This window comes from Homo sapiens, chromosome 6 (assembly GCF_000001405.40).
Source record: "Homo sapiens chromosome 6, GRCh38.p14 Primary Assembly".
Lineage (NCBI taxonomy): Eukaryota > Metazoa > Chordata > Mammalia > Primates > Hominidae > Homo > Homo sapiens.
In genome coordinates this window covers 9,970,165-9,995,541 of record NC_000006.12, presented here as the reverse complement: position 1 = coordinate 9,995,541, position 25,377 = coordinate 9,970,165, and the positions used below count along the sequence as shown (strand labels likewise).

Here is a 25,377-nt window from a genome sequence, read left to right as displayed (position 1 = left end):
ATCTTTTAACTTTTTAAAATACAAAGTCCTTGAAATTGGTGTTTGTTTTATACTCCCAACATATCTCATTTCAGACTAGCCACATGTCAGGAGTTCAATAGCCACATGTGGCTCATGGCTAGTGTTTTGGGAAACAAAATCCTAAAAAAGTTGGTGGATGCTTGCTATAGACATAGAAATGGTCACCACCCAGTCTTCCCATGGTGACTTTTCAAATGCATGCAGAGATTTGACCACCTATTTGGTGAGTTTATACCAGTGATTCTCAACTGGGGCTCTTATGTTCCCTAGGAGACATTGGGTGATGTCTAGACTATTTTTGGATGTCACAACTGGGGAAGAGGGGTGCTACAATCATCTAGAGGCCAAGGATGCTGCTAAGCATCCTACATCCTACAATGCAGAGGGCAGCTCCCATAGTAAAGAATGATCCAGCCCAAAATGTCAGTGGTGCCAAGATTGAGGAACCCTGATTTATACAGAATTGACTGTTGCCTGAAAAATATGATGAGTGTCTACATTTTGTGATGGTTTAGCTGTGGCCCTCTGAAGACCAGAAACATGGTATCTTTTTGAACTCATAAATATTTGAGATCCTTGGCAATATGGTTTGGCTGTGTTCCCACGCAAATCTCATCTTGAATTATAGTTCCTATAATCCCCACGTGTTGGAGGTACCCAGTGGGAGGTAATTGAATCATGGGGGTGGGTTTTCCTTGTGCTATTCTCATGATAGTGAATACATCTCACAAGATCTGATGGTTTTATAAAGAGCAGTTCACCTGAGCACGCTCTCTTGTCTGCCTCCATGTAAGACATGCCTTTGCTCCTTTTTTGCTTTCAGCCATGATTGTGAGGCCGCCTCATCCATGTGGAACTGTGAGTCCATTAAACCCCTTTTTCTTTATAAATTACTCAGTCTCTGGTATTGCTTCATAGCAGTATGAAAATGGACTAATACATTTGGTAAATACAGTTTTTTTCAAGAATGAGAAACAATTATCCCATTACCCAGACACCCCAAGTGGCATATGTAAACTCAGAAGCTGGAGAGTATGTCAGAGAAATCCTTATGAGGCTTTGATTCACAGCATAGCGCCAAAGTTTGGAGAACTAAATAGTTGAACCAAGCAGCCTTCTGGTCAGGCTTGTAGATTCTGTGGGTGGACAACTTAGAGACCATAAAAGGAGTTTAGGGGAAGCTACCAAGTTCTTTGTTCTGATTTTTCAGGCTAATAAAAATTCAGTCAGCCTAGTTTAACCACGCATGTTTCTCTTTTTTTTCCTACTACATTTACACCTTCATAATTCAAGATGACTTTGTAAATAATTAGGGAGAAGCAAAGGCTTTCCATGACTGGTGAGCTCAGAATGACTGCCTAGATGAATGCAAGTTGTGTTAGCTCTGCGGTACGAGTTTTCCTGTGCTACGCTGGTTTCATGTATCTTGAAGATGTTAATCACTCTAACTCATTTAAAGCAAAAAAAATAGCAATCACTTATGCCAAGAACTCAGAAGATGAAATGTCATTCTAACTAGATTCATACAAAGAAAATCAGAGAAAATAAATAATTTTTTAGTGCTAAGGATAGTGTTTTAGATTTCTCTTGCTGTATAGCAAATTACCGCAGAACATGAATTTGTTATTTCATCGTTTCTGTGGGTCAGGAGTCCAGAAGCCTGAGAACCAGGGTGTTCACTGGTGTAAATCCCAGAGGTGGAAGGCCCACAAACCCTGAATTCTTTTTTTTTTTTTTTTTTGTCTGAGATGGAGTCTCGCCCTGTCGCCCGGGCTGGAGTGTAGTGACGTGATTTCAGCTCACTGCAACCTCCGCCTCCCGGATTCAAGCAATTCTTCTGCCTCAGCCTCCAGAGTAGCTGGGACTACAGGCGCGTGTCACCATGCCCAGCTAATTTTTGTATTTTTAGTAGAGACGGGGTTTCACTATATTGGCCAGGCTGGTCTCAAACTCCTGACCTCATGATCTGCACGCCTCAGCCTCCCAAAGTGCTGGGATTACAGGTGTGAGCCACCACGCCCGGCCATGAACCTGGAATTCTAATGTCCAAGGCAGGAAAATATTGATATCCCAGCTCCAGAGGACAGAGTGAATTTGCCTTTCCCCTGCCCTTATGTTCTCTCGGTGCCCTTGACAGACTGGATAATACTCGCCCATACTGGTGAGGGGAGAGCTTCCTTACTGAGTCCACTCATTCATATGCCAACCTCCTCTGAAAACACTCTCACAGATACACCCAGAAATGATGCTTTACAAGTTATCTGGGTATCCCGTCAGGTTGACACCTGAAATTAGCCATCATACCTTCTTATTTGCAGCTGGTAAAATATGATTTTTATCTTTTAGATTTAAAAACATGGCAAAAAGGTGGTATCTTTCTTTAGGGATTCTTTTTGGGTGGTTCTCTGGGCCCTCTGTGAATCTATATTGAAACTTTTTTAAGTCAAGAAAATAATTTGAATAACACTAATTTCATTTCGGGTCCCTTCTCTTTCCTGTAATATCTCTGCCATTAATCATTTGGATGAACTATATCATTGTAGATTATTAGGACTATTTTCTCAGTTTCCCTTACATGACTATTGCCACATTTTATAGATTCTTTTGATGTAGACATGTAGTAGTAATGTTTCTTTAGCGTAACTGATTTGTTGCTGTATGGCATTAGATTTTTCTCTGTTATAGATCCTAAATAAATTTATAAAAGTATCTACACTTTATTGGGTATATAATGCTCCTTGATCTGTCTTAAGGGCTCAATCAGCATTATCTTATTCAATTCATATAGCAACTTTCCTTTGATTGTGTTGTTATTACTCTGATTAAACAGAAAAATCTGAAGGAGAATAGAGTTAAATGGCTTGGCCAAGACCACAGGGATAAAAAGTTATAAAGCTATGCTTCAAATTCAGTGTGTCTCCCTTGTTTCGTGTGTGTGTGTGTGTGTGTGTGTGTGTGTGTGTGTGTGTTTAAATCACAGTATGTTCTTTGTCTTGGCTATCATTACTTCCATTTTAAAAAATAATTAGAATAAGTTTGCTTATATTTGTGTGCAACTCTTGATATTTATGCTCCTACTTTTTGGAGTCTACTTGCTTATGGTCTGCTTGCTTTTTAAATTTAGATTTTTGTTAGGTTTATCTTGTGTCTTGTTTGCTTCCGTATTGTCTTTCTTCTTCCTTCATTCTGACCTGTTTTATTTCTTTTGCCTTATTTTGCTTCCTAAGTGCTAACCCTTCTTCTGGATTATAACATCATTTGCATCAAGGCATTTGCTGATCTTGGAGCAAAAAGAAAAAAGCATAATGTCTTTGCAAATAATGTGTTCACTTATGTCTACACTGGCCAGATGTAGTAATACTGAAGTTCTGATGTAAGAGCCTGATATTGTGTCAGCATTGGTCAGCTCACCCTAAATCTATATAATGCTTAACCTGTGACATAATAAACAATTCACCATTGTGAGAGAGAAACAAAGAGAAGCACAAAATGTGATTATAAGCTACAGAATTACAGTCCTTTATTTTATGAGTGCAAAAATACAATACACCTAACAAGTATTCAAGTCCTAGTTTGTTGGTTTTCAGCCCTTTTTTTTTTTTTTTTTCAGAGAAAAGATGCCCCAAGAGGCCAGATAAGGGAAAATATAAATCCGGATTTTTTTGGTTGTTAACTTAATCTCTCTGTTGTGACTCAAATAATATTAAGTGCATTTATTGTTTGACTTAGCTTACATTAGGGACATGAGTGAGACCTCACTCAGAGTATACCTTTTTCAGGTCTGGCACCTTTACAACAGCAACTAAATATAATTTTGCTTCAGTTTGGGTTTCCCAAGCATAAAATATAAAGCACATAGAATTCACTTTATTAATGCATGCCCAAGATTTCTAAACTTTTGTAACACTTGGTATTTGTTGAAGCATTAATATAAACCCAGCTCAAATACTTCACTCTGTAAGGGTGTATCATTTTATTTAAAAAAGATTAGCTATTTTTTGAACAAAAATAGGACAGAACTATGACAGCCTCAAATAAAGAAAGAATGCAGAGGACGGCAGAAGGAAATAATTGTAACACAGGTGATTTTTGCTTTGCAATAGAATTTTGTGGTGTCTTTCTCTCTCACTTCTCTCTCTTGCTCTCTCGCTTTCTCTTGTCTTTCTGTGTGTGTGTGTGTGTGTGTGTGTGTGTGTGTGTGTGTGTGTGTGTGTATGTTTTTGTTATTTTAAATTCTGGCCTGAAAGTCAAGATACACTAGTTAGACTGGTTCCCAAGCACAGCTATGTCATGGGTTGGATGTTTATGCAACATATAACTTTACCAAAATTGTCTTTAGTGGTTACTTTGGAATAAAAGATGTTTGGGGTGAATTGTATCCTTCATCACAATTTCTATTAGGTAGATGAAACTTTTTATTTTCCTACAACTTGTTCCTTTTTATTTTATTGAGCTAAAATTGAAGTGCAATAAACTACGTATATTTAAAGTTTACGATTTCAACAGTTTTGACACAGGTACACACCCTTAAAGTCATCATCACAATCAAGTTAGCAAACATGTCTGTCTGTGTACAAATTTCCTTGTACCTTTTTGAAATTCATGTCTCCTTCCACATCAACCCCAGGAAACACCAACCTGCTTCCCATCACTACAAATTGGTTTTCATGTTATAGAATTTATACAAATGGAATCATATAGTATATTGTCTTTATTGCCTGGTCTCTTCTACTTGACATAATAATTTTAAGATTCATCCATATTATTACATATATTAATAGTTCATTCCTTTTTATTGCTGAGTAGTATTCCACTGTATGGATATATTTTAATTTTGAGTTTTTCAAAGTATTTGGTTATAAAGAAAGCTGCTATGAATATTTTCATATTCAAATGTGGGCACATTTGTTTGTATCTTGTGGGTCAATGGCTAGAACTGGAATGACTGGATGGTATGGTAGGTGTATTTTAACATTTTAAGAAATGACTGAACTGTTTTCCAAAATGTTTGTCCCATTTTACATCCCATTGGCGCTACATGAAGGTTCCCATCCCTCTTCATCCTTGCCGACACTTGGTATGGTCAACCTTTTACATGTTAGAAAATCTCATGCATGTGCAGTGTTATCTTTCTGTGGCTTTGGTTTGCATTTTCTTTATGACCAGTGACATGAAGCGTCTTTTCCTGGGCTTATTGACCATTTATATATCTTTCCTTTTGTGAAATGTTCATTCAAATTTTTTGCCCATTTAAAAAATTGAGTTGTTTGTCTTCTTCTTTAGTTGTGAGAGTTCTTTATGTATTCTGGATACAAATTCTGGTGTGCTAGATGTATTGCCAATATTTATCCCCAGCCTTTTACATAATTAATGGTACTTTTCAAAAAGAAAAAGTTTTACGTTTTGATGAAATCCAATATCATATATATATATATATTCTATCTTTGCTTACTCCAAAGTTGTGAAGATTTTTGCCCCTGTGTCTTTCTAAGAATTTTTGTAGTTTTAGGTTTTATGTTTAGATCTGTGTTCTATTTCAAGTTAACTTTTGTAAATGTTGTATGGTAAAAGTTAATTTTTTTTTTCCATATGGACTTCCAGTTGATCTAGCACCACTGTTGAAAAAACTTTTATACCTCCATTGAATTACTCTGGAACCTTTATTGAAAATCAGTTGATCAGGTGGATTCACTTTTTTTTTTTTTTTTTTTTTTTTGGTTTTGGTTTCCTCTCTTACTCATTTCACACTGGCACAAACCCCCTTGGGTTCTAGTACCACAGTTCATGCATTTGTCATATTTTACGTAAAAATATCTGAATGACAAAATTCCCCCGAATTCTTAACATCCTCTAAGTATGTTACTGCTCATGGCATGCTTTTGTGCCATCAGGATACAATGTATGGTGAATGTTCCATCCGTGGCAGAAAATCGAAGGTCAGGGAAGTCACTGTCAACTACAAGATAGTTGCTCTTGGTAATATGTGGTCGGGCAATTTTCTCACACTTGGTGTGGGAGAACAGTCTGTTTTTGGATTTCTTCTACATCTGAAGGAAGTTTGGAACATTTCTCAGTTACATTTTATAATTCAGATTAAATAGAACTCCTTTCAGGTGCAGAAAAAAATAAATCATACTTCTAAGTCTATGGTTCTCAATAAGGGGAAGAGTGAGTTTTGCTTCTCAGAGAGGCAATGTCTGTCAAAAATGACACACTTTTTGTTATCACTACTGGCATCTAGTGAGTAGAGTCCAGGGATGTTGCAAAATAGCCCAAGATGCATAGGACAGTCTCCGTCACTCCTACATAGGAGAAATAGCTGGCCCCAAATTTCAGTAGTGTTGCTGTTGAGAGACTCTGCTTTAAGTATACAAATACTTAGATCCAAATCCGGCCCAGAAAGTATTCCTATACCTTCACTCCCTCTAACACTTAAGAGGTTAAAATAAGATAGGTTCGTGATTTCTTTTTAACTAAATGGCTGTTGTGCATGTAAAACAATCTTTGTCACTTTTTTCACCCATGACCCTCTGGGGGTCATATTTTTAATTTGTCGACTGTGTCACTGTGTGAAGAGTAGTGGACTTGGGTCAAAACACATGGACTGTATTCATGCCTCCAACAGATCCCAGAGGCACTTGAGTTAAAATGAGAAGATGTGGTTTGCATCTAGACTGTTTTCTGTCACATGCTGGCTTGTATGTCCTCAGAAAAGCCTCTTAAAAATTCCCTGAGCTTCAAATGGGAATAATTATAAATTTTAAAAATTTAAATATAAAAATATTGAGCTTTAAAATGCGAATGAACTTTAAAATGGGAATAATTTCATGGACTGTTTTAACCTTGTGATCCTCCTGCCTCCGCCTCCCAAAGTGCTAGGATTACAGGTGTGAGCTAGTGCGCCCGACCCGGAAGGATGTTAATTGGTGTCAATACAGTCTCGTCATTCATAAAGTGTTTCTTATGTTAGCAAAGGAGTTACATATTTATTAAATATTAGAATAAAAACAGGATTTTAAAAAGTTTGTATATGTTTAAGGGATCCAAATGCAATTTTGTTGCATGGAGATATTTCTTAGTGGTGAAGTTGGAGCTTTTAGTGTATCCATTACCCACATACTGCACATCGCACTGGGATTCTTTTTATTTATATATTCCTAAAATCAATACATTCTATGTGTTAGAGGAATGGAAAGAGCTAATGAAGTAGTATTTTCTGGAGGAGTAGACGTTGATCTAGGCTTAAAGGATGGAAGGACTCTAGACAGGCAGAAACTGGAGTAGAGGGAATAGCATCAAAAAAGAATTGGTGCCTCAGATTCTCTTTGGCGAGTAGGATTCTCATTCTCTGGAAACCAAATTGCTTATTGATTGGGGACTGCTTCGGTATGATAGCAGGTATTTCATTATGGTTTAAGTTTTTCATTTTGTTTCATAGGTTGGTTGCCCATGTTTTCTTCAATAACTAATATTGGTGATGAAATAAGTCTTAGAAACAGACAAAAAGACTGTAATACTTGGCCCCTCTGTAGACATTTTTAATTGATTTATTTTGCCCTGGAAAATGCAACCATATGGTAGCAGTCAGTTTCCACCTAAGGCAACGCTTCAAAATCCTGATTCTGGATGAGAGTGGTGATGTTCCTTTGGCATCATCTTTTCCTCTGGTTCCACTCATGACCCATCTTCGCTCCCCCACCTCAGCTAATTCAAGAACTGATAATTCAAGCTAAATGATTTCACTGATGACTCTCAAATAATACTTTTAAAATATTCATTATTAATTCCACAGGTAATAGAAACTGGAGAAAGTAAACAACCAGCATGATCTCTTACAATGGGTATGTTTTTATGTACTTATAATATGTGTCACCAAACAACATTCAAGCTATTAATATCTGGAAATGCAGACACCTGCATTTAGCAGTGAAGTTAGACTCTGAAGACAGCACTCTCAGTTAGCACTGAAGGCAGACATAACACCTCACAGAGTGGCCTAAGGAATACTCCCAGGTACAGTGGTTTGCTATGGGTATGGAGACTGGAGACTTGAGAGATTTGAGGGTTCGTGAAGATCATTCTGGTCCCGTCGGCGTCCTGCTGCCTCCTCAACTTGTCTGGTCCTCTTGGGAGTAAGGACATCTTTCTTGGTGGTTCCCAACTGTTCAGATTGCAGGTGTGAGAACTTGGCTGAAAAGGAGGTTAGAATTCTCCCAGGTGGGCATAGGGGACAGTGTGTAGAAAGAAATCCTCAAATTTCGTGTGCATCTTCACTTCCGGTTGAAGAATCCTCTACTTCCTGTACATCTTCATTTCTGGTTGTTCCTGGATTATTATTATTTTTTCATTTCAGTCAGTCAGTCTCCTTCTCAGTAGAGCACAAGAGAGCTTTAAGAAAGAATAGATAAACTTTTGTTTATTGTAGTTTATTTAAATTACTTCTCAGGATAGTGCAGCATGTTTATTTGTCATTGAATAGGTATTTCTGCTGTTTAAATTCAATAAACAACTTCTTTGCAAGCCTCACTGTGGGTGGACTAAAAACCAGTTTTTACTAGTCATTCACACTGGAACACAATTTCAATGTGGTAGGTAAGATATTTCAATCTAGTAGGTAAGCTCTGTGTGTGCTTGTGTGAGTGTATATGTTAGTGTGTGAGAAAGTGTGAGTGTGTGGGTACATATGTGTTTGTGTGTGACTGTGTGTATATGTCTCTGTGTGAATGTATCTAAGAGTAACTGTGAGAGTGTGAGCATATATATGAGTGTGTTATGCTTCTGTGTGTGTGAGAGTGTGTGAGCATGTAAAAACAAGGCAGAATATGAGAGGCAGCCCTGGTAATGCAAAGCATCTTGGATTGGGAACCTGAAGATCAAGGTATATGCTAAGACGTGGTTTTGCTGTTTCTTAACTGTGTAAACTTGAAAGTATCTTTGAGGTTTTGTTTCTTTGTCAAAAACTGACACCTATTCAACTCATATTTACCAACTGTCTTCTATGTGCCAAGCATACAATGAGGTAACAGTAATAATATTTTTCTCACTGGCATCATTGAATTGTTAAAACCACAAATAAGACGTGGTAGTCAGAAAGCCTTGAGATTGCTGTGAAATTTTCTAAGCAGCATCATCTTATAACAAGCATGAATAGTGATGCAAATTACATGCTACAGAATTCAAAGGTAAAAACACAAATGAAGATCCATACATCCTATGTGTTAGAGGAATGGAAAGAGCTAATGAAGTAGTGTTTTGTGGAGGAGTAGATGCTGACCTAGGCTTGAAGGATGGAAGGACTCTCGACAGGCAGAAACTGGAGTGGAGAGAATAGCATCAAAAAAGAATTGGTCCCTCAGATTCTCTTTGGCAAGTAGAATTCATATTCTCTGGAAACCAAATTGTTTATCGATTCTCTGGGACTGCTTCAATATGATAGCAGTAATTTTATTATGGTTTAAGTTTTTCATTTTGTTTCATAGGTTGGTTGCCCGTGTTTTCTTCAATAATATCACAGTGTTTGTAGTGAACACTTCATTCATGAGGTGGAGGCTTGTACCTCCTGAACATTTCTTGGCTTTGTGTTAGCCTTTGATTGTTTCTAAAACCATTCCCTAGGCCTGTAATACATCCATGCCTCTTGTCTGCAGAAAGTTTGAAAGTAGTGAAGTTGATCTAAACATTTTTGTGAACAAGTGAGCTGTAAGTACAGTTTCAAAGCTGCAGCAGCTGTTTGTGTCTTTGCCTTGCAATCTGGTGTCTTAACTGGAATTCTTTATGTCAGAACATAATCTACTTAAAAAGTTTCCATTTATGTCACAAATAATAAACTTGATGGCTCTTTACAACATCTAAACAGTCCCCTTAAGCTGCCTCTTCAGATGATAGTCTTCTTTCTCCAGTGAAAGACTCAAAAAGTAATCCCTTTAGGTTTCTTATGAAATATTCATTCTTTGGTATGGCTGCTAAAAATGTAATTGGCAAGCTGTGTCTCTACCATATCCACAGCCTATAGTATTATTAAATATGAAGTATGATACTCAAGTATATCCTATAGTTTAGGTTTAAAATATGTATGCTATGTGTATAAAATAAATTATAAGACACACACACACACACACACACACACACACACACACACACACACAGTCTAAGAAGATAGAAAGTTTTTAAAGAAAGTTGGTGGATTGCCTGAGGTCAGGAGTTCGAGACCAGCGTGGCCAACATGGTGAAACCCCATCTCTACTAAAAATACAAAAATTAGCCAGGCACAGTGGTGGGTGCCTGTAATCCCAGCTACTTGGGAGGCTGAGGCAGGAGAATTGCTTGAACCCGGGAGGCAGAGCTTGCAGTGAGCTGAGATTGCACCACTGCATTCCAGCCTGGGTGACAGAGCAAGAGTTCATCTCAAAAAAAAAAAAAAAAAAAAAGAAAGAAAGTAAGTCTTTGCTGGTGGTTGGTGGTTTTAACAGCTTCATCACACATTTACTGACATCAGGCCACTAGAACTGAATCAGCAGTCCATCCATATTCCTACCTTTGTTTTTTTCTTCTTCTTCCTCTTCCTCACTTCTTTGCTGTATCATCTCCATATTGCCCTCTAATCTGCATCATCATCTTCAAGCACCCATTTGTATTTTCCTAGACTTTACTGAAGATCTATTGCCTTTTCCTTTTAAGCAATCCTATACTGTTACTTGCCCAAAAGTGAAAGCAGAAATGAAAGTACCATGGATCACACTAACACCATGCAAAAGGCTCTCCTTTTCCATTTCATTCATTGATATAGACTGAGACAATAGACCTGTCATCAGCATGAGATAATTAACACTGTCCTGGCTAATTGGTTGAACTGAGAATAAAAAGATTAGCCACCACCTGGCCCCATTCCTCAGCAAGCCATGCCTGGAAAGCTTTCTTTTAGACCAGAGTCAACAGTCAACTTGCTGAACTTGGAAAATAGGTACATACCTCTCTTAATTTTTAGTTTTGGACTAATTCGTCTTCTAAAAAGACAACATCCTTAAAATGAAAAAATGCGTTTATTGCAATAAAATCATGAATAGTTTAGCAGTAAGTAGACACGGCTAAAGAAAGAACTAGTAAATAGGAAGACAAATGTGAAGAAGTAAACCAGAATATAGCTTATAGAAAAAGGTGACTGACAATAGAAAATCGAGTGTAAGAGACACAGAGGTTATAATGAGAAGATCTAGCATTTTAAATTTGAGACAACAGAGAGAATGAGGAGGCAATATTTGGCTGTATAGTGGATGAGCTGTTTTCAGAACTGGTGATAGATTTGAATAATCAGAGATGTGAACAAAATTTCCAAACATGAAAATAAAAAGAAATCTACCCCTCTATACGTTGTGGTGGAACTGGGGTGTACCAAAGACAAAAAGATGATTTTAAAATTATTCTCTTTTCCAGAAAGGAACAAAAATTAGACTGATAGCAACCATGAATGCTGTGTTGAGATGGAGTAGCTGTCAATTTTAAGTTGTTTAGCAAGTAAAACTGTATTTCAGGAACCAAAACCAAATAGATCTTCAGATGAACAAAACTGAGACGTTACTATCATTAGGTTCTAAGTAAAGGAACATTTAAAACTGTACTTCAGATGAAATAAAAATGACTCTAGAAGGAATTTCTGATATATAAGAAGGAATGTGAGCCAAGAAATGGATAAACATGTAGATAAATCTAAATAATTAGTGACAGTATAAAATAATACTAACAATGTCTATTTTGTAGGGCAAAATAATAAGGCAGAACTAAAATACTGAATGACATTAGTTTATAAATTTGAAGGAGGGTGACAAAAGTTAAAACATTCTCTAGTTTCAGCATTATTTGATTAGATAATTAAGATAATGATTAACCTGAGACGTTGATATTTAGATATGCTACAATTCCAAGGACAGAATAAGAAAGAATTCAATTAAAGCAGTAGAGAAAAATTGAAATGAAAATCAAGATAAGTTAGGAGAGAAAAAGAAACATGGAGTAGGACAAATAGAAAGCACAGAGTAAGATGATAGAAATGAATCAAAATATACCAATAGCCACATAAATGTAAATGGACCATTTTCACTAGTAACAAGACAGATTGTCAGACTTGATGAAAGCCCAGTGCATTTCTATGCTGTTTATGAGAAGCATGCCTAAAACATATGGAACGCTAAATATGGGCTCCAGGAGACATTTGCAAAAATGTTCCTGGAGGCATTGTTTCTTACAGAAACAAACATGAAAACTGGATACGACCTGAATGTTCTTCAATAGGAAAATGTTTAAACATATAGTGACATTAGTTGGTATAATATAAACAATAAAAATATATTAATGACAACTTTATAGAGCAACATGGATGAATCTCAAAAACATGTTTTCAGATATACAGCATGTTTATAAATTTCAAACATACGATATTTAATTACTATATATTGAGTAAAGCCTACTAAAATGATTGTATTCATATCTAGAAAATCCAGAGTAATTCTCCCTCTGTGTGAGTGCTGAGTCGAGGAACTACCAGACCAGTTTCATGGGAATGTGACCTGTGACACAGAGCCCTGAGTTTAGAAGGACCCTAGGTGTGATTTCATGTTGTGTTGTCACCATCTAGAAATCCTTAATAATTTTGAACAAGAGACCTTGCATTTTGCACTGGGCCCCTCAAATTATGCAGCTGGTCCTGGGGGATACAAACATGGAGTGATAGAGAAGAGATTTGAGTTGTACTGGTGATGTTCTTTCTTAATCTAGATGGTGATTTGTTTTATCTACTTATATAGAGTGTTACACATATTGTGTGTGTATGAAATATCTTGTTTTTCAAATTAATCTCAAAATGTTGCCTCTTGAGCCACTGGTTTATAATACTCATCAGAAATACCCAGGCAAAAGAGTCACATTGTCACCACCTAGGTGGAATGAAATATCTCATTTATGTGGCTGTGATGTAGAAATTGGTCTGAGTTGTTGAGTAATTATACTTAAGCATATGCTTTCGACTCTATAAAACCCGTGTGAGTAATATCAGTTTGAGGGAAAGAAGAGCTCTCCGTGTTTCTTTACACAGTTGGGATACCCAGCTGCTCTGGTTTGCATATTGCAAGTGCATTTCCTTTGCAAACTTGTTAGCTCCTGCATTATTTGGAGGCTCTGCTTTTTAAAGCAGGCAGCATTTAAAAACTACAGGGCAGAACCTATCTGATTCTATTGCTGTCACCAGCAGCTGGTGCACCCAGTGTCCTCTGAGGAAGTTAGCTGCCGTCTAGCTACCGTGAATATTGTGTGAACATAGCACATCTGTGATAGTGGCTTACTGCGCTTGTGCGACTGTAGAGGCCAACGTGCCATTCGTGTATGGTTTGGCAGCTTCAAAATTCACACATAGAAACAGCTGGTGAAAGAGTTTGCTAAGTGGTGCACCCCCTTTTAATCCAGCCACCTGGATGATTCGGAGAGGCACAATGTGGCCATCACTCTTTAATGCGTTGCATGGTAGCTGCATTGGCCAAAACTTCTTGGGAGTTTTCAAAAGCAATACAACACAATGTTCAGTTTTTCTGTGCTGCTCCCAAAGAACTCTTGGTTGCTTCAGCTTAAATGTATCCCTTAAGTACATCTTAACTCTGACCTTCAATTCCCTTTTACTATCCTGTCATTATGCGTCTACTCTCTCAAGTGCAGTAAAGTGCGGGGACTCTGATATTATGCATTCATTCCTTCAGTCACTCAATAAACATTTATAGAACATCTTAAATCTTAACTTGCACTTACACATCTTAAAGCCTTGGTTCACTCTGCCTCATCCTTCTTCTGTTTGTGTCCTTTTTTCTAGTGACTCTGATTTACTCTTTATGACAATGTTTTTCAAGCTCTGCTCCATTCCGTCTTTCCACTAATCCAGTCATGGTCTTTCCTATTTTGCAGTAGATCATGTAATCTGTTGTGCTGCTTAGGGGTTCCTTGATGAATTCCTACATGGCAGAAATTAAAATGAAATGTAACTTTTGAGAAACATACCTCAAATAAATCACAAGCTTCACCCTGCACCTGTTGCTTGCAAACACAGTGATCTGCCTACTAAAGGGCAAAAGGATGATGTCTATTGCAAAGAATTGGATGCTTTTCATTGAAAATACAGGTTACATTGCAAAAACTTTCAAATGTTGCCAAGGTAACTGTAATCATTATGCTACCATTTAGTCAAATTTGGTGTCTAGGTAATCTTAGTGGCAGAAGTCTCAGCCTGAATTAAACCAACAATTAGTTGAACACTTATTATGTGCAAGGCATATGGACATACACAAAAGTGCAAGATATTCTTCACTTCTTTGAGGAGCTTAAATCTCATTGTAGGGATCTAAACATATAAAAGGAAATTAACAGTACAAAGTGAAGTGGCCTACAAGTCATTCAGATATTAAGTGAAGTAGGAAAACAAAGCATAAAAGAATAATTATTGGTGGGCAGGATCATCAGAGAAAAATGGGGGCAAAGGACATTCCCCATGTTTAATTAGGCTCTTTCTGGAGTCGGGTAGACATATTACTTCTACAGAGAAAAACACTCGGATTACTCTATTCATTACTTCTTCATTGCTTGAGACAGATTTATTTTGAATTATTATTGAACATTTTCCTTTTTGTATTTCTTTCAAATTGAGTGCACATTTGCCCAATTTAATTGCTTATTTGTTTCCTTGGAAGATTTTGTCATTGAATTTTTTTCTTCTAGGAATTGAATCCTTATTTTGGGGTTATGTGTTTCTCTTTTGTTGTTAATAATGAATTTGATTCATTGCAAGCTAATTAGACCTACTGTAGGAAAAAAAGAGCTATTAAATGTCAGCACATTGTAGTGAAAAGGCCACATTGTCTTAGACTAGGATGGGCGTGAGTTTGAATCTTGCTATGTGACTTTATTCAATTTATTTAGTGTCTTAGCCTTTCTTTATTTGATAAATGTGTATGTTTCACTTAATATTTATTTTAAAGGCTTGATGATAGGATTACATGAGATAACATGTATAATACTTCCGTTTCACTCCTAGAAAGTGCCCCATAAATACTAGCAACTATCGTTATTATTGGCCTTTTCTAATTATCTCAATTAATTTCATATACGTGAGAGGACTTCCACTGATTACACAAAAGGATACTGCATTTCAATGACATATTTTAAGGTCATTGGATTAAGTGAAGAACTTTTAAAAGTTAATACTTTTAGGAATTGTACTGACTGGAGAACATTCTCTTTTGTTCATGTTCAGATTTTAATCGCACTTCACGGGTGGTCTGCCAGTTGCGTGCTAGTCTTTTCTTTCTTTCTTTCTTTTCTTTTTTTTTTTTTAAAGAAGAATATCTGTAATTCTTGAAGTGGGTATTTTACCAATTTTCACATGCTTTGTTTTCTCTTCTCAAATCAACATGTCTATGTATTTATATAATTCAGAGTTCAAACAACATTCATTACATTGCTGTCACCGTACATAAAGACAATCAAAACTTGTTATGCCCAAATCTAAAACATGACCCAAATAAGTGAACAGATGTGTCGCATGACCAAAGCTTCACCATGTTGTTCCTATTTATCATCTGTGTTTGGAGGGTGTGCCTAGCGCTGTGAGGTGGTGGATTAAAGGTTTTGCCAATTGCCCTTATTTAATGAAACATTTTATGCACACTTTGTTCCTCTATTCTTTTGCACTGCCCTTTGGGTGACAGAATGGTTTTAAGAAGTTTGGTCAAACTTGTCAAGCCTTTGAAATGGTTCTAAAACTGTTTTTATGGTTGTAAAATTATATTTAGTCCAAATAAAACCATATTTATTTAATTTTGGAGCTGAAATAATGAGCTTTCAAAATGCAAGCCATCCAGAAATATTCCATCAAGTTTTCAAAATTTATACTTTGCTCTTCTAATTTTATTGTGGTTATTTTCTGTTCCTTTCTTGCACCCTTTCCATATAATGAGAATGTGAAAACACAAGCAATTCTCTATGGAAAACAGATCCATCATCCTGAGCTGGAAGTCTTCATGAAAGCAAAATTTAAAAAAATAGGAGTTGTGTTGGTAGGATTTCCCCTTAGGCTGTTTCTTTTATCTGTATTAGTCTTGGAAAGTAAGGGACATCAGGCCTCCCATCATCAGTAAGCCCAAAGGGTTCAGGCTCTGTTCAGGCCCCACTTAAGGGTTCATCACCAGTATTTGAAGCAAGTGCATTAGAATCTTGAAGGAAAACATCAATTTGGTTCACCTGGCTCCAGTATACCTCTTTATTAATATTTAATTAAAAAACCCAGATTAGCTGGAAAGGATTGAAATTTCAGGAAGAAATGAAGTACAAGTTCTGTATCCCTCCAGATGCAGTGTTTCCACTGTTACAATGTTTACAATGTTAGCTAGGAATCTCTAGTCCCTCTTTTTTCATCTTTCTCATTTTCCACTGGCTGTGGTATGTTTCTGTATTCCTGGTGGTGGAGGGCAGTTTACACTGGTTAATATCCAACCATGTACAACAGGTACTACCCTCATGACAAGACAAGGAAGAGCAGAGAACATATACCTGACAATAAACTGCCTGAGTTCAAATGATTCTCCTACTTACTTCGTGTGGTAATAGACAAGGAAGTCAACCTCCTCTAATTCGTGTTTCCTTACCTGTACAAGTGGGGATACCATTCGATGGCTTCATCAAAGGCTGTGTTTTAGAACAGTAGCAAAATTGCCAACTGCCTCCTCTCCACATGCTGGGTCTTGCTTGACTTAAAAAAAAAATGATGCAATAGGCGTTTCAGCAGAGAATGAGACAGGCGACAGCCGAAGGGTTTGGGGTGTTTCTTTTGGGGTTCCTATAAATACGGTATTACTCATCCTGCCTTCAGGCCTCTGCCAAAGGTGTGATTCTTCTTTTCTGGGGCAGGAAAAGACTTCTGAGCTGGCTCTCATGCTGGTGATGGTAGCCCCTAGGTGTTTGCCCACAGCCCACAGTCAAGCTCTATAGGGAGGTCCTGAACTTAGATGTTCTAGACTTACTGCTAATGAAACCCAAACTGTGGTCCCTGGGTGACTTATAACTCAGATCATCTGAGAAAGGATCAAAAGTGACATCCTATCACAACTTATTTTCCTGATGCAGAAAACTGCAGGGCAGATTTTAGTTTTTCCTTTTAGCTTAATTCCCTAATTGAAACATTAAAAAAGCAAGCAAGCCTAATTTTAAAAAGGAGGCTTTAATCAAGAGATTCTGCAGTTACTATGTTTTCTCCTCTCCATGCAGTTTATCTATTGGAAATGGGACGTGCATATCTTGAACTTCACTTGCTTAGTAGTGCCCATGTATTAACCCTGGGTGTTCTGCAAGAAAAAAAAATTGCATGATATCAGAGAGTTCAAATAAGATGTATTTAGTGTTAAATGAGATTACATATTCCCAGCAGTTCACATGGTGCCCGGTCCCTATTCAACACATAAAGACCCCTACCCTCACCCCCTCTGCCCACCACGACAGAGTTACTGTTTTAATGCCAATCATAGTAGGCTCACAAGCTATCTGCTGTTCCTCCAAATTTAGTCTTTAAGGAGTACAAATTATTCAACTACTATTTTTCTTACTATTTCTTTTTGAATTTGCTATATCATTTATCAAATATAGTTATAGCATATGGCTATGCTATAACTGCCAGAATGTAAATATTCTGGGCATAATACCTGCTCCAAACCACCTTGTCGAGGCTGTTGTGGAGAGAAAAGTTTTAAAAGCCATTTGGTTTTAGTCCAGGAACAAAGGTTCATTTAAAAATACCATGTACTACTTGCCTGTGTTTCTAAGACTCTGTTATCCATTAATTCCTCCCCCACCTCCCTGCTTCATGCTGCCTGGTTAAAGGCTTCCTGTTTAATCGTTTCATGTTTACTTCTGTGTGAGCTTATATTAATTATGTGGATCACCAGTCTCATCACCATGAAGGATGAAGATATATTTGATTTGGCAGGGGATCCCCAAGACAGCCTCATTCCTGGGCCTTCTCCCACCCCCAAGCAAAACCCAGTTTGTAATGAGGCTTTCTTTGGACACCAGACTTTCTCCTTAAGGTAATTAAAGCCTGCAGGTCTTAGTTACAAAGCTAGTTGACACGATTTAGCAGAGCACTTTGAGTTTAGACAAATGCTAGACTTGAAATGAAAGAAAGGGATTGACTCTTAGCTGCTTATTTGGAAAAGTTATTTGTGTTTGTTTGTTTTTGTTTTTGTTTTTCTTTGTGCCTGGTCAGTCCAGTTTCTGAATACCTGGTTACCTTCACTGTGGGTTGGGACCATATCTAGCTGTCTCAGAGAGGCTTGTCCTGACACCTTTCTATTTGCTGAGGCCCACCAGTGCTTCCCCTGGCTGTTCAAGGTAGAGCCTATTTCACTGGGAACCTGTAGGCACCACTGAGAGGTCTGGCCAGAGGTGACCTTAAGGCTTGTCTGTTTTATCCATGGGTTACTAGGCTGTGCAAAGACTATGTTACTCAGAGAAAAAAAGAACTGATTCTAGTCCTACCCCAGCAGCTAGAAAGACAGCCCTCTATCTGACCAATGGCATACTTGAAAGAAATAATATTTTGAGAGGCAAATGATCAGTTAAACAAAATAGGATAAATTTGAGAAATTCTTCAGGTCAGGTTAAACAGAATTTCTACATGTCAAAATAAACAGAAATATTCTCCTAAGTTCCAAGATCTAACAATCTGATTGATGAGTATAGATCATAGCAGTGGAGATATGCATAATGGACTCTTTTGGGGAAGGGGAGAGAAAATACAGTAATTCTATGATGTTTTTATTTTAAAAACCTAGAGTTAAAGCCTTAATTATCTGCTTGTTGATTGAAAACAGTATGTGCACATTAAATATTTTACGGAAGAGTATGACTGCTGAATGTATCTACAGAATTAGTCTCTTCTCAAGGGTACTCATTCTAACTCAACCATGGTGTTTTGAGGCTGCAAAGAGTTCTTGGAAAAGAAGATGGGACCAAATTTGAAGCTGATTCTCTGGGCCAAGGGAATGGGCTAGGGAAACATACTGGTTAAAGACAACTCAAAAAGAGGAGGGCAGAAATTAAGGCACAGTGTCTGAAGGCTAGCAATTTGATGAAGATTGTGGGGACAGTTAACACTAGATATTTATCTTCTATTCCACAAACCTTTGGAAGGCACAGTATTCACAGTGTTCTAGGTATGGTGAAAACTTGGATCTAGGAAAGATATCTACCTTCACTCTAATGGTTTATAGTCTAGAAAGGAAAGACAAGCATTCGAATAAATAAAAGATATGAAACCGTGCAGTGTGATGGCAAATGGAGGAAGATGGCTCAGTGGGACTTTTGGGAAGATGTACGCATTAAGAGGGAATAGAAGAGGCTTCATAGAGAATGCAGAGGGAAATCTGATGGGATGTGGGCTTCATGAAATCAGCCAAGATATTTGTATATAAAAGCTCTACTTACCAGGATATACCAATCTTAGATTAAGCAAATAAGGTGGAAGGAATTGAGCTGTAATATTCACCCCAAAGCACTGCAAAAGGGGACTTAGAGGTCAGTCAACAGTATGGGACGAGGGAGGCACTGGATAATCTGCAGAATGTGTTCGTGGATAGTTAGATTTCAGAAACTGAGATTGGCCAAAGGAAAATATTACGTATCAAGGGATCTCCCGGGGATTATTCGAAACAAAATTTCTCAGCATCAGTTGTACAATAGAATCACCCGGTGAGCTCTTGCACACGTATTTTCATAACCGAGTCCAACTCCCAGAGCTTCAGGGGAGGGGCATAGGCATGTTATAAGGGTTCTCAAAGGGATTCTAACATGCAATCAAGTAGAATCACTGATTTAGAATAGTTGGTCAGAAGGATGAAGAGGACAGCAAGGAAGATCCACAAATATACCAACTGGGTCACTGGTTTTCAAATTTGAGCATGCATCAGCTTCCCCTAGATATTAAAACAGATTGTGGTGCCCTACCTCCAGAGTGTCTGATTTATTAGGTCTGGGGTGAGGTCCTAGAAGTTGCATTTCTCAGTAGTTTCTAGGAGACACTGATGCTACTGGTCCAGGGACTTCAAGTACCACTAGAGCAGATAAACTGTGGAGGGAAAAGGATTTGTGTGATATGATAGAATAAGACATACATATTTGGTCTTAGTGCTGGGGTTCCTGGCACAGAACTTCTAAAACACTCATAAGCTGATGAGCGTTGGGGTGAAAGGAACATGTTTTGTTATTCACAATAAGCCCCTTTCAAATGCATCCGAGTTTACACTAATGAGAAGACTGGTGGCTGGGTGTCCCTAGATAGCTTGAGGATGGAAGATGGTCACCAGAAAGACCAAGCCATGATTAGAAGATTGGAACTTTCAGCATCCCTCCCTTCCTCCACATCCCTGGCCTCCAGGGAGGAGAGGAGGCTGGAGATTGAGCTGATCGTCCATAGCCAATGATTTAACTAATCACGTCTACATAATGGAACCTCCATAAAACCCCTAAACAATGAGGTTATGAACCTCCATAAAACCCCTAAACCCCTCCATAAAACCACTAAACCCAGGAAGGTTTCTGGGTTGATGGATGGATCCATGTGCAAGGAGCGTGGTGCATCCAAACTCCATGGAGACAGAAGCTCCTGTGCTTGGGACTCTTCTGGACCTCGCGTTGTGTACCTCTGCATCTGGCTGTTCACCTGTATCCCTTATCTTAAACCAGTAATAGCAAGCAAAGTGTCCCCCTGAGTTCTGTTAGCCGTTATAGCAAATGATTCCACTTGAGGGGGAGGTCATGAGAGGCTCCAACTTGCAGCCAAGTTGGACAGGAGCTGTGGGTGACCTGGGGACCTACTACTTGTAACTGGTGTCTGAAGTAGGGGGCAGACTTGTGGGGCTGAGCCTTTAACTTGTGGGGTCTACGCTACCTCTGAGTGGTTAGTGTGAACATTGAGTTAAACTGTAGGACACCAGTGAGTGTCCACAAATAACTGGAGAATTGCTTGGTGTGAAAACCAAAACCCACACATTTGGTATCAGAAGTGTTAGAAGTGACTTCTCTTTCAACTTGCAGCTTGGGGTAACATTGGCATGGTGGGCTCACTGGTGAGGCCTTGGACCTGACTGGCATTGCCACAACTTGGGCAATAGCAGCTGTGATCAGTTTATGAGTAATATCTTGCTACTAATAGTAGTTTATGATATAAAATCTTGCTGCTCAAACCAGGTTCCCCAGACTAGCAGCATAGGCATCATGGAGATGTGTGCTAGAAATGCGGAACCTCAGACCCCACCCCAGAGCCAAGATCTGTATCTTAACAAGAGCTGCACATAATTTACATGCATTCTGAAGTTGGAGACTCGCAACAGTAGTTCTTAGTCTTGGTTTCACATTATAATTTGTTGGAAAGTCCCACATCACACCAATTAAGTTGGAATCTCCAGGAGTAGAACCTAGTATTAGTATCTTTAAAGCTCCCTAGGCGAATCCAGTGTGTGGCTAACATTGATAACCACTGATCTGGAATTTGATTTGAAATGCTGTGGTCAAGTTTGTTGCTGGACTTGATTTGATTTGCACAACTCAGGAAATGGAAAGGTATTAAACCCACACATGGAGGACATTGGTGTATTCAGCTGGAGGTAAATGGGACAGCAGAAACAGGGATGGTGACACAGATAATGACAAAATAATATCAGTCTCACTTGCTTCCTTAGAAGACGTTTATTGCCAGGCTGAATATGCAAAACCAATTGGCTGACAAAGGGAAACCACTGTGTTTCCCTTTGTCTCTTCCTGATACTCTCTCTTCCCTGATACTGTCTCTTCCCTGTTTCCCCTGGATTGAATTGACCACTTACTCATGCCCTCACGTCCCGGATGTTTCCAACACCTAAGTCTATCGTAGCACCTACCAGCGTGCTAAGCTTTATCTCCCTTGTTTATGAGTTTCTCTTCACTCGGTAGATCATATACTTTTTAATACCAGGGAAAAATCTTGTTTCTCTGTGGCATTAGCACGTAGAACTTAATAGACACAGGTATTTGTTGAATAGTTGGATAGAAAAGAACAGGGAATAATTGCTTTGAGGAAAATGTACTGTAAGTTTCAAAAATATGTTGAAAATGATATAAAATTATATATATAGTATACACAGAGCTGAAGCAAATATGCAAATAACTGTTGTTGAATCTAGGTGAAGGGAATATGTTGTTTATTGTACTATTCCTTCAGCTGTTCTCTAGCTTTAAATATTTAAAATAAATAGGGTTGTGAGAAAATATATTTGAAATAGTCCTTACATTATTTTTCTAAATTAAGAGCCATTTCTTTAAATAAGTGTTAGAAAAATGAAACACATTTTTATTTTTTATAAACTTCACAAAATTTCCTTTCCTTACTTAGGTATACTTTTATTTCTGAAGAGACTTAGGGTTACTTTTGTACTAACCAAGACTGATTGAAAGCCAAAGAAATAATGTGTGTAATACTGATGAAAAGCTCTTCTATTATGAGTGTTGTGATTTGGTAGAACTATTCAAATTGCCTGTTTATGTTTATTTACTTATCTTAATCTGAATTTCCACATTAACCTCACCTGGACAAAATGCCCTATATAATTTTGAAAATTCATTTTGTTTTTCTTAAATTTTCATCTCGTTATTTATAATGCTTTGGTCTAAAATGGCAATTTAGATTATAATTGATGGTATTAATTTATCTTTCTGTCGTATGAAGGCTATTCATCACCAGGCTGATACTAGTTTATATAGAATTCTACTTTTTCACCTACAAAATCCTAAAAACAATGTATTTTTGTTCATGTTCTTTGTGACTAGCAAAAATATTGGCCTGTGAAATGTTTGCGTCTGTCTTTGGAATCTTTATTAAAGAACTTTCCTGACTGGGCATGGTGGCTCATGCCTGTAATTCTGGCACTTTGGGAGGCCGAGATGAATAGATCTCTTGAGCCCAAGGGTTAGAGACCAGATTGTGTAACATGGCAAAACCTTGTCTCTACAAAAATGCAAAAATATTAGCTAGATGTGGTGGCATAGTCCTGTAGTCCCAGCTACTTGGGAGGCTCAGGTGGGAGGATTACCTGAACCTGGGGAGGTTGAGGCTGCAGTGAGCCGTGATTGCACAACTGCACTCTAGCCTGGGTGACAGATTTAGATCCCATCTCAAAAAAACCCAAAAAAAACAAAACCAACCAGACAAAACCCCCAACTTTGCTAACTATATTGCAGAAATGGAAGTTATTCTGTTTCTGTGTAATAAGAAATGTGACCTCCCTCTTGCTCAAAAAATGAATAATCACTCAGCACTTTCAGAGGCGAAGGTGGATGGATCATGAGGTCAGGAGTTCAAGACCAGCCTGGCCAATATGGTGAAACCCCATCTCTAATAAAAATACAAAAACTACGGGAGGAGCCAAGATGGCCGAATAGGAACAGCTCCGGTCTACAGCTCCCAGCGTGAGCGACGCAGAAGATGGGTGATTTCTGCATTTCCATCTGAGGTACCGGGTTCATCTCACTAGGGAGTGCCAGACAGTGGGCTCAGGCCAGTGGGTGCGCGCACCGTGCTCGAGCCGAAGCAGGGCGAGGCATTTGCCTCACCTGGGAAGCGCAAGGGGTCAGGGAGTTCCCTTTCCGAGTCAAAGAAAGGGGTGACAGATGCACCTGGAAAATCGGGTCACTCCCACCCGAATATTGCGCATTTTCAGACCGGCTTAAAAAAACGGCGCACCACGAGACTATATCCCACTCCTGGCTCGGAGGGTCCTACGCCCACGGAGTCTCGCTGGTTGCTAGCACAGCAGTCTGAGATCAAACTGCAAGGCGGCAGCAAGGCTGGGGGAGGGGCGCCCGCCATTGCCCAGGCTTGCTTAGGTAAACAAAGCAGCCGGGAAGCTGGTTGGAGCCCACCACAGCTCAAGGAGGCCTGCCTGCCTCTGTAGGCTCCACCTCTGGGGGCAGGGCACAGACAAACAAAAAGACAGCAGTAACCTCTGCAGACTTAAATGTCCCTGTCTGACAGCTTTGAAGAGAGCAGTGGTTCTCCCAGCACGCAGCTGGAGATCTGAGAACGGGCAGACTGCCTCCTCAAGTGGGTCCCTGACCCCTGACCCCCGAGCAGCCTAACTGGGAGGCACCCCCCAGCAGGGGCACACTGACACCTCACACGGCAGGGTATTCCAACAGACCTGCAGCTGAGGGTCCTGTCTGTTAGAAGGAAAACTAACAGAAAGGACATCCACACCAAAAACCCATCTGTACATCACCATCATCAAAGACCAAAAGTAGATAAAACCACAAAGATGGGGAAAAAACAGAACAGAAAAACTGGAAACTCTAAAACGCAGAGAGCCTCTCCTCCTTCAAAGGAACGCAGTTCCTCACCAGCAATGGAACAAAGCTGGATGGAGAACGACTTTGACGAGCTGAGAGAAGAAGGCTTCAGACGATCAAATTACTCTGAGCTACGGGAGGACATTCAAACCAAAGGCAAAGAAGTTGAAAACTTTGAAAAAAATTTAGAAGAATGTATAACTAGAATAACCAATACAGAGAAGTGCTTAAAGGAGCTGATGGAGCTGAAAACCAAGGCTCAAGAACTACGTGAAGAATGCAGAAGCCTCAGGAGCCGATGCGATCAACTGGAAGAAAGGGTATCAGCGATGGAAGATGAAATGAATGAAATGAAGCGAGAAGGGAAGTTTAGAGAAAAAAGAATAAAAAGAAACCAGAAAAGCCTCCAAGAAATATGGGACTATGTGAAAAGACCAAATCTACGTCTGATTGGTGTACCTGAAAGTGATGGGGAGAATGGAACCAAGTTGGAAAACACGCTGCAGGATATTATCCAGGAGAACTTCCCCAATCTAGCAAGGCAGGCCAATGTTCAGATTCAGGAAATACAGAGAATGCCACAAAGATACTCCTCGAGAAGAGCAACTCCAAGACACATAATTGTCAGATTCACCAAAGTTGAAATGAAGGAAAAAATGTTAAGGGCAGCCAGAGAGAAAGGTCGGGTTACCCTCAAAGGGAAGCCCATCAGACTAACAGCGGATCTCTCGGCAGAAACCCTACAAGCCAGAAGAGAGTGGGGGCCAATATTCAACATTCTTAAAGAAAAGAATTTTCAACCCAGAATTTCATATCCAGCCAAACTAAGCTTCATAAGTGAAGGAGAAATAAAATACTTTACAGACAAGCAAATGCTGAGAGATTTTGTCACCACCAGGCCTGCCCTAAAAGAGCTCCTGAAGGAAGCGCTAAACATGGAAAGGAACAACCGGTACCAGC

At 38.8% G+C, this 25,377-nt stretch overlaps 1 pseudogene across 1 annotated transcript in view, besides 2 other annotated features; it reads left to right on the top strand.

Annotated features, from left to right (window-relative positions):
• Positions 1-25,377, top strand: part of OFCC1 (orofacial cleft 1 candidate 1 (pseudogene)) — a 506,631-nt pseudogene that overhangs the window by 216,067 nt on the left and 265,187 nt on the right. The gene's annotated exons all lie outside the window — the stretch shown is intronic.
• Positions 23,166-23,776: an enhancer, noted in NCBI's record as "H3K27ac-H3K4me1 hESC enhancer chr6:9971999-9972609 (GRCh37/hg19 assembly coordinates)". NCBI's record gives its function as "activates a minimal SCP1, AML or CMV promoter by ChIP-STARR-seq in primed H9 embryonic stem cells {active_cell/tissue: H9 hESC(primed)}" and the evidence as "EXISTENCE:reporter gene assay evidence [ECO:0000049][PMID:30033119]".
• Positions 23,777-24,387: an enhancer, noted in NCBI's record as "H3K27ac-H3K4me1 hESC enhancer chr6:9971388-9971998 (GRCh37/hg19 assembly coordinates)". NCBI's record gives its function as "activates a minimal SCP1, AML or CMV promoter by ChIP-STARR-seq in naive and primed H9 embryonic stem cells {active_cell/tissue: H9 hESC(naive and primed)}" and the evidence as "EXISTENCE:reporter gene assay evidence [ECO:0000049][PMID:30033119]".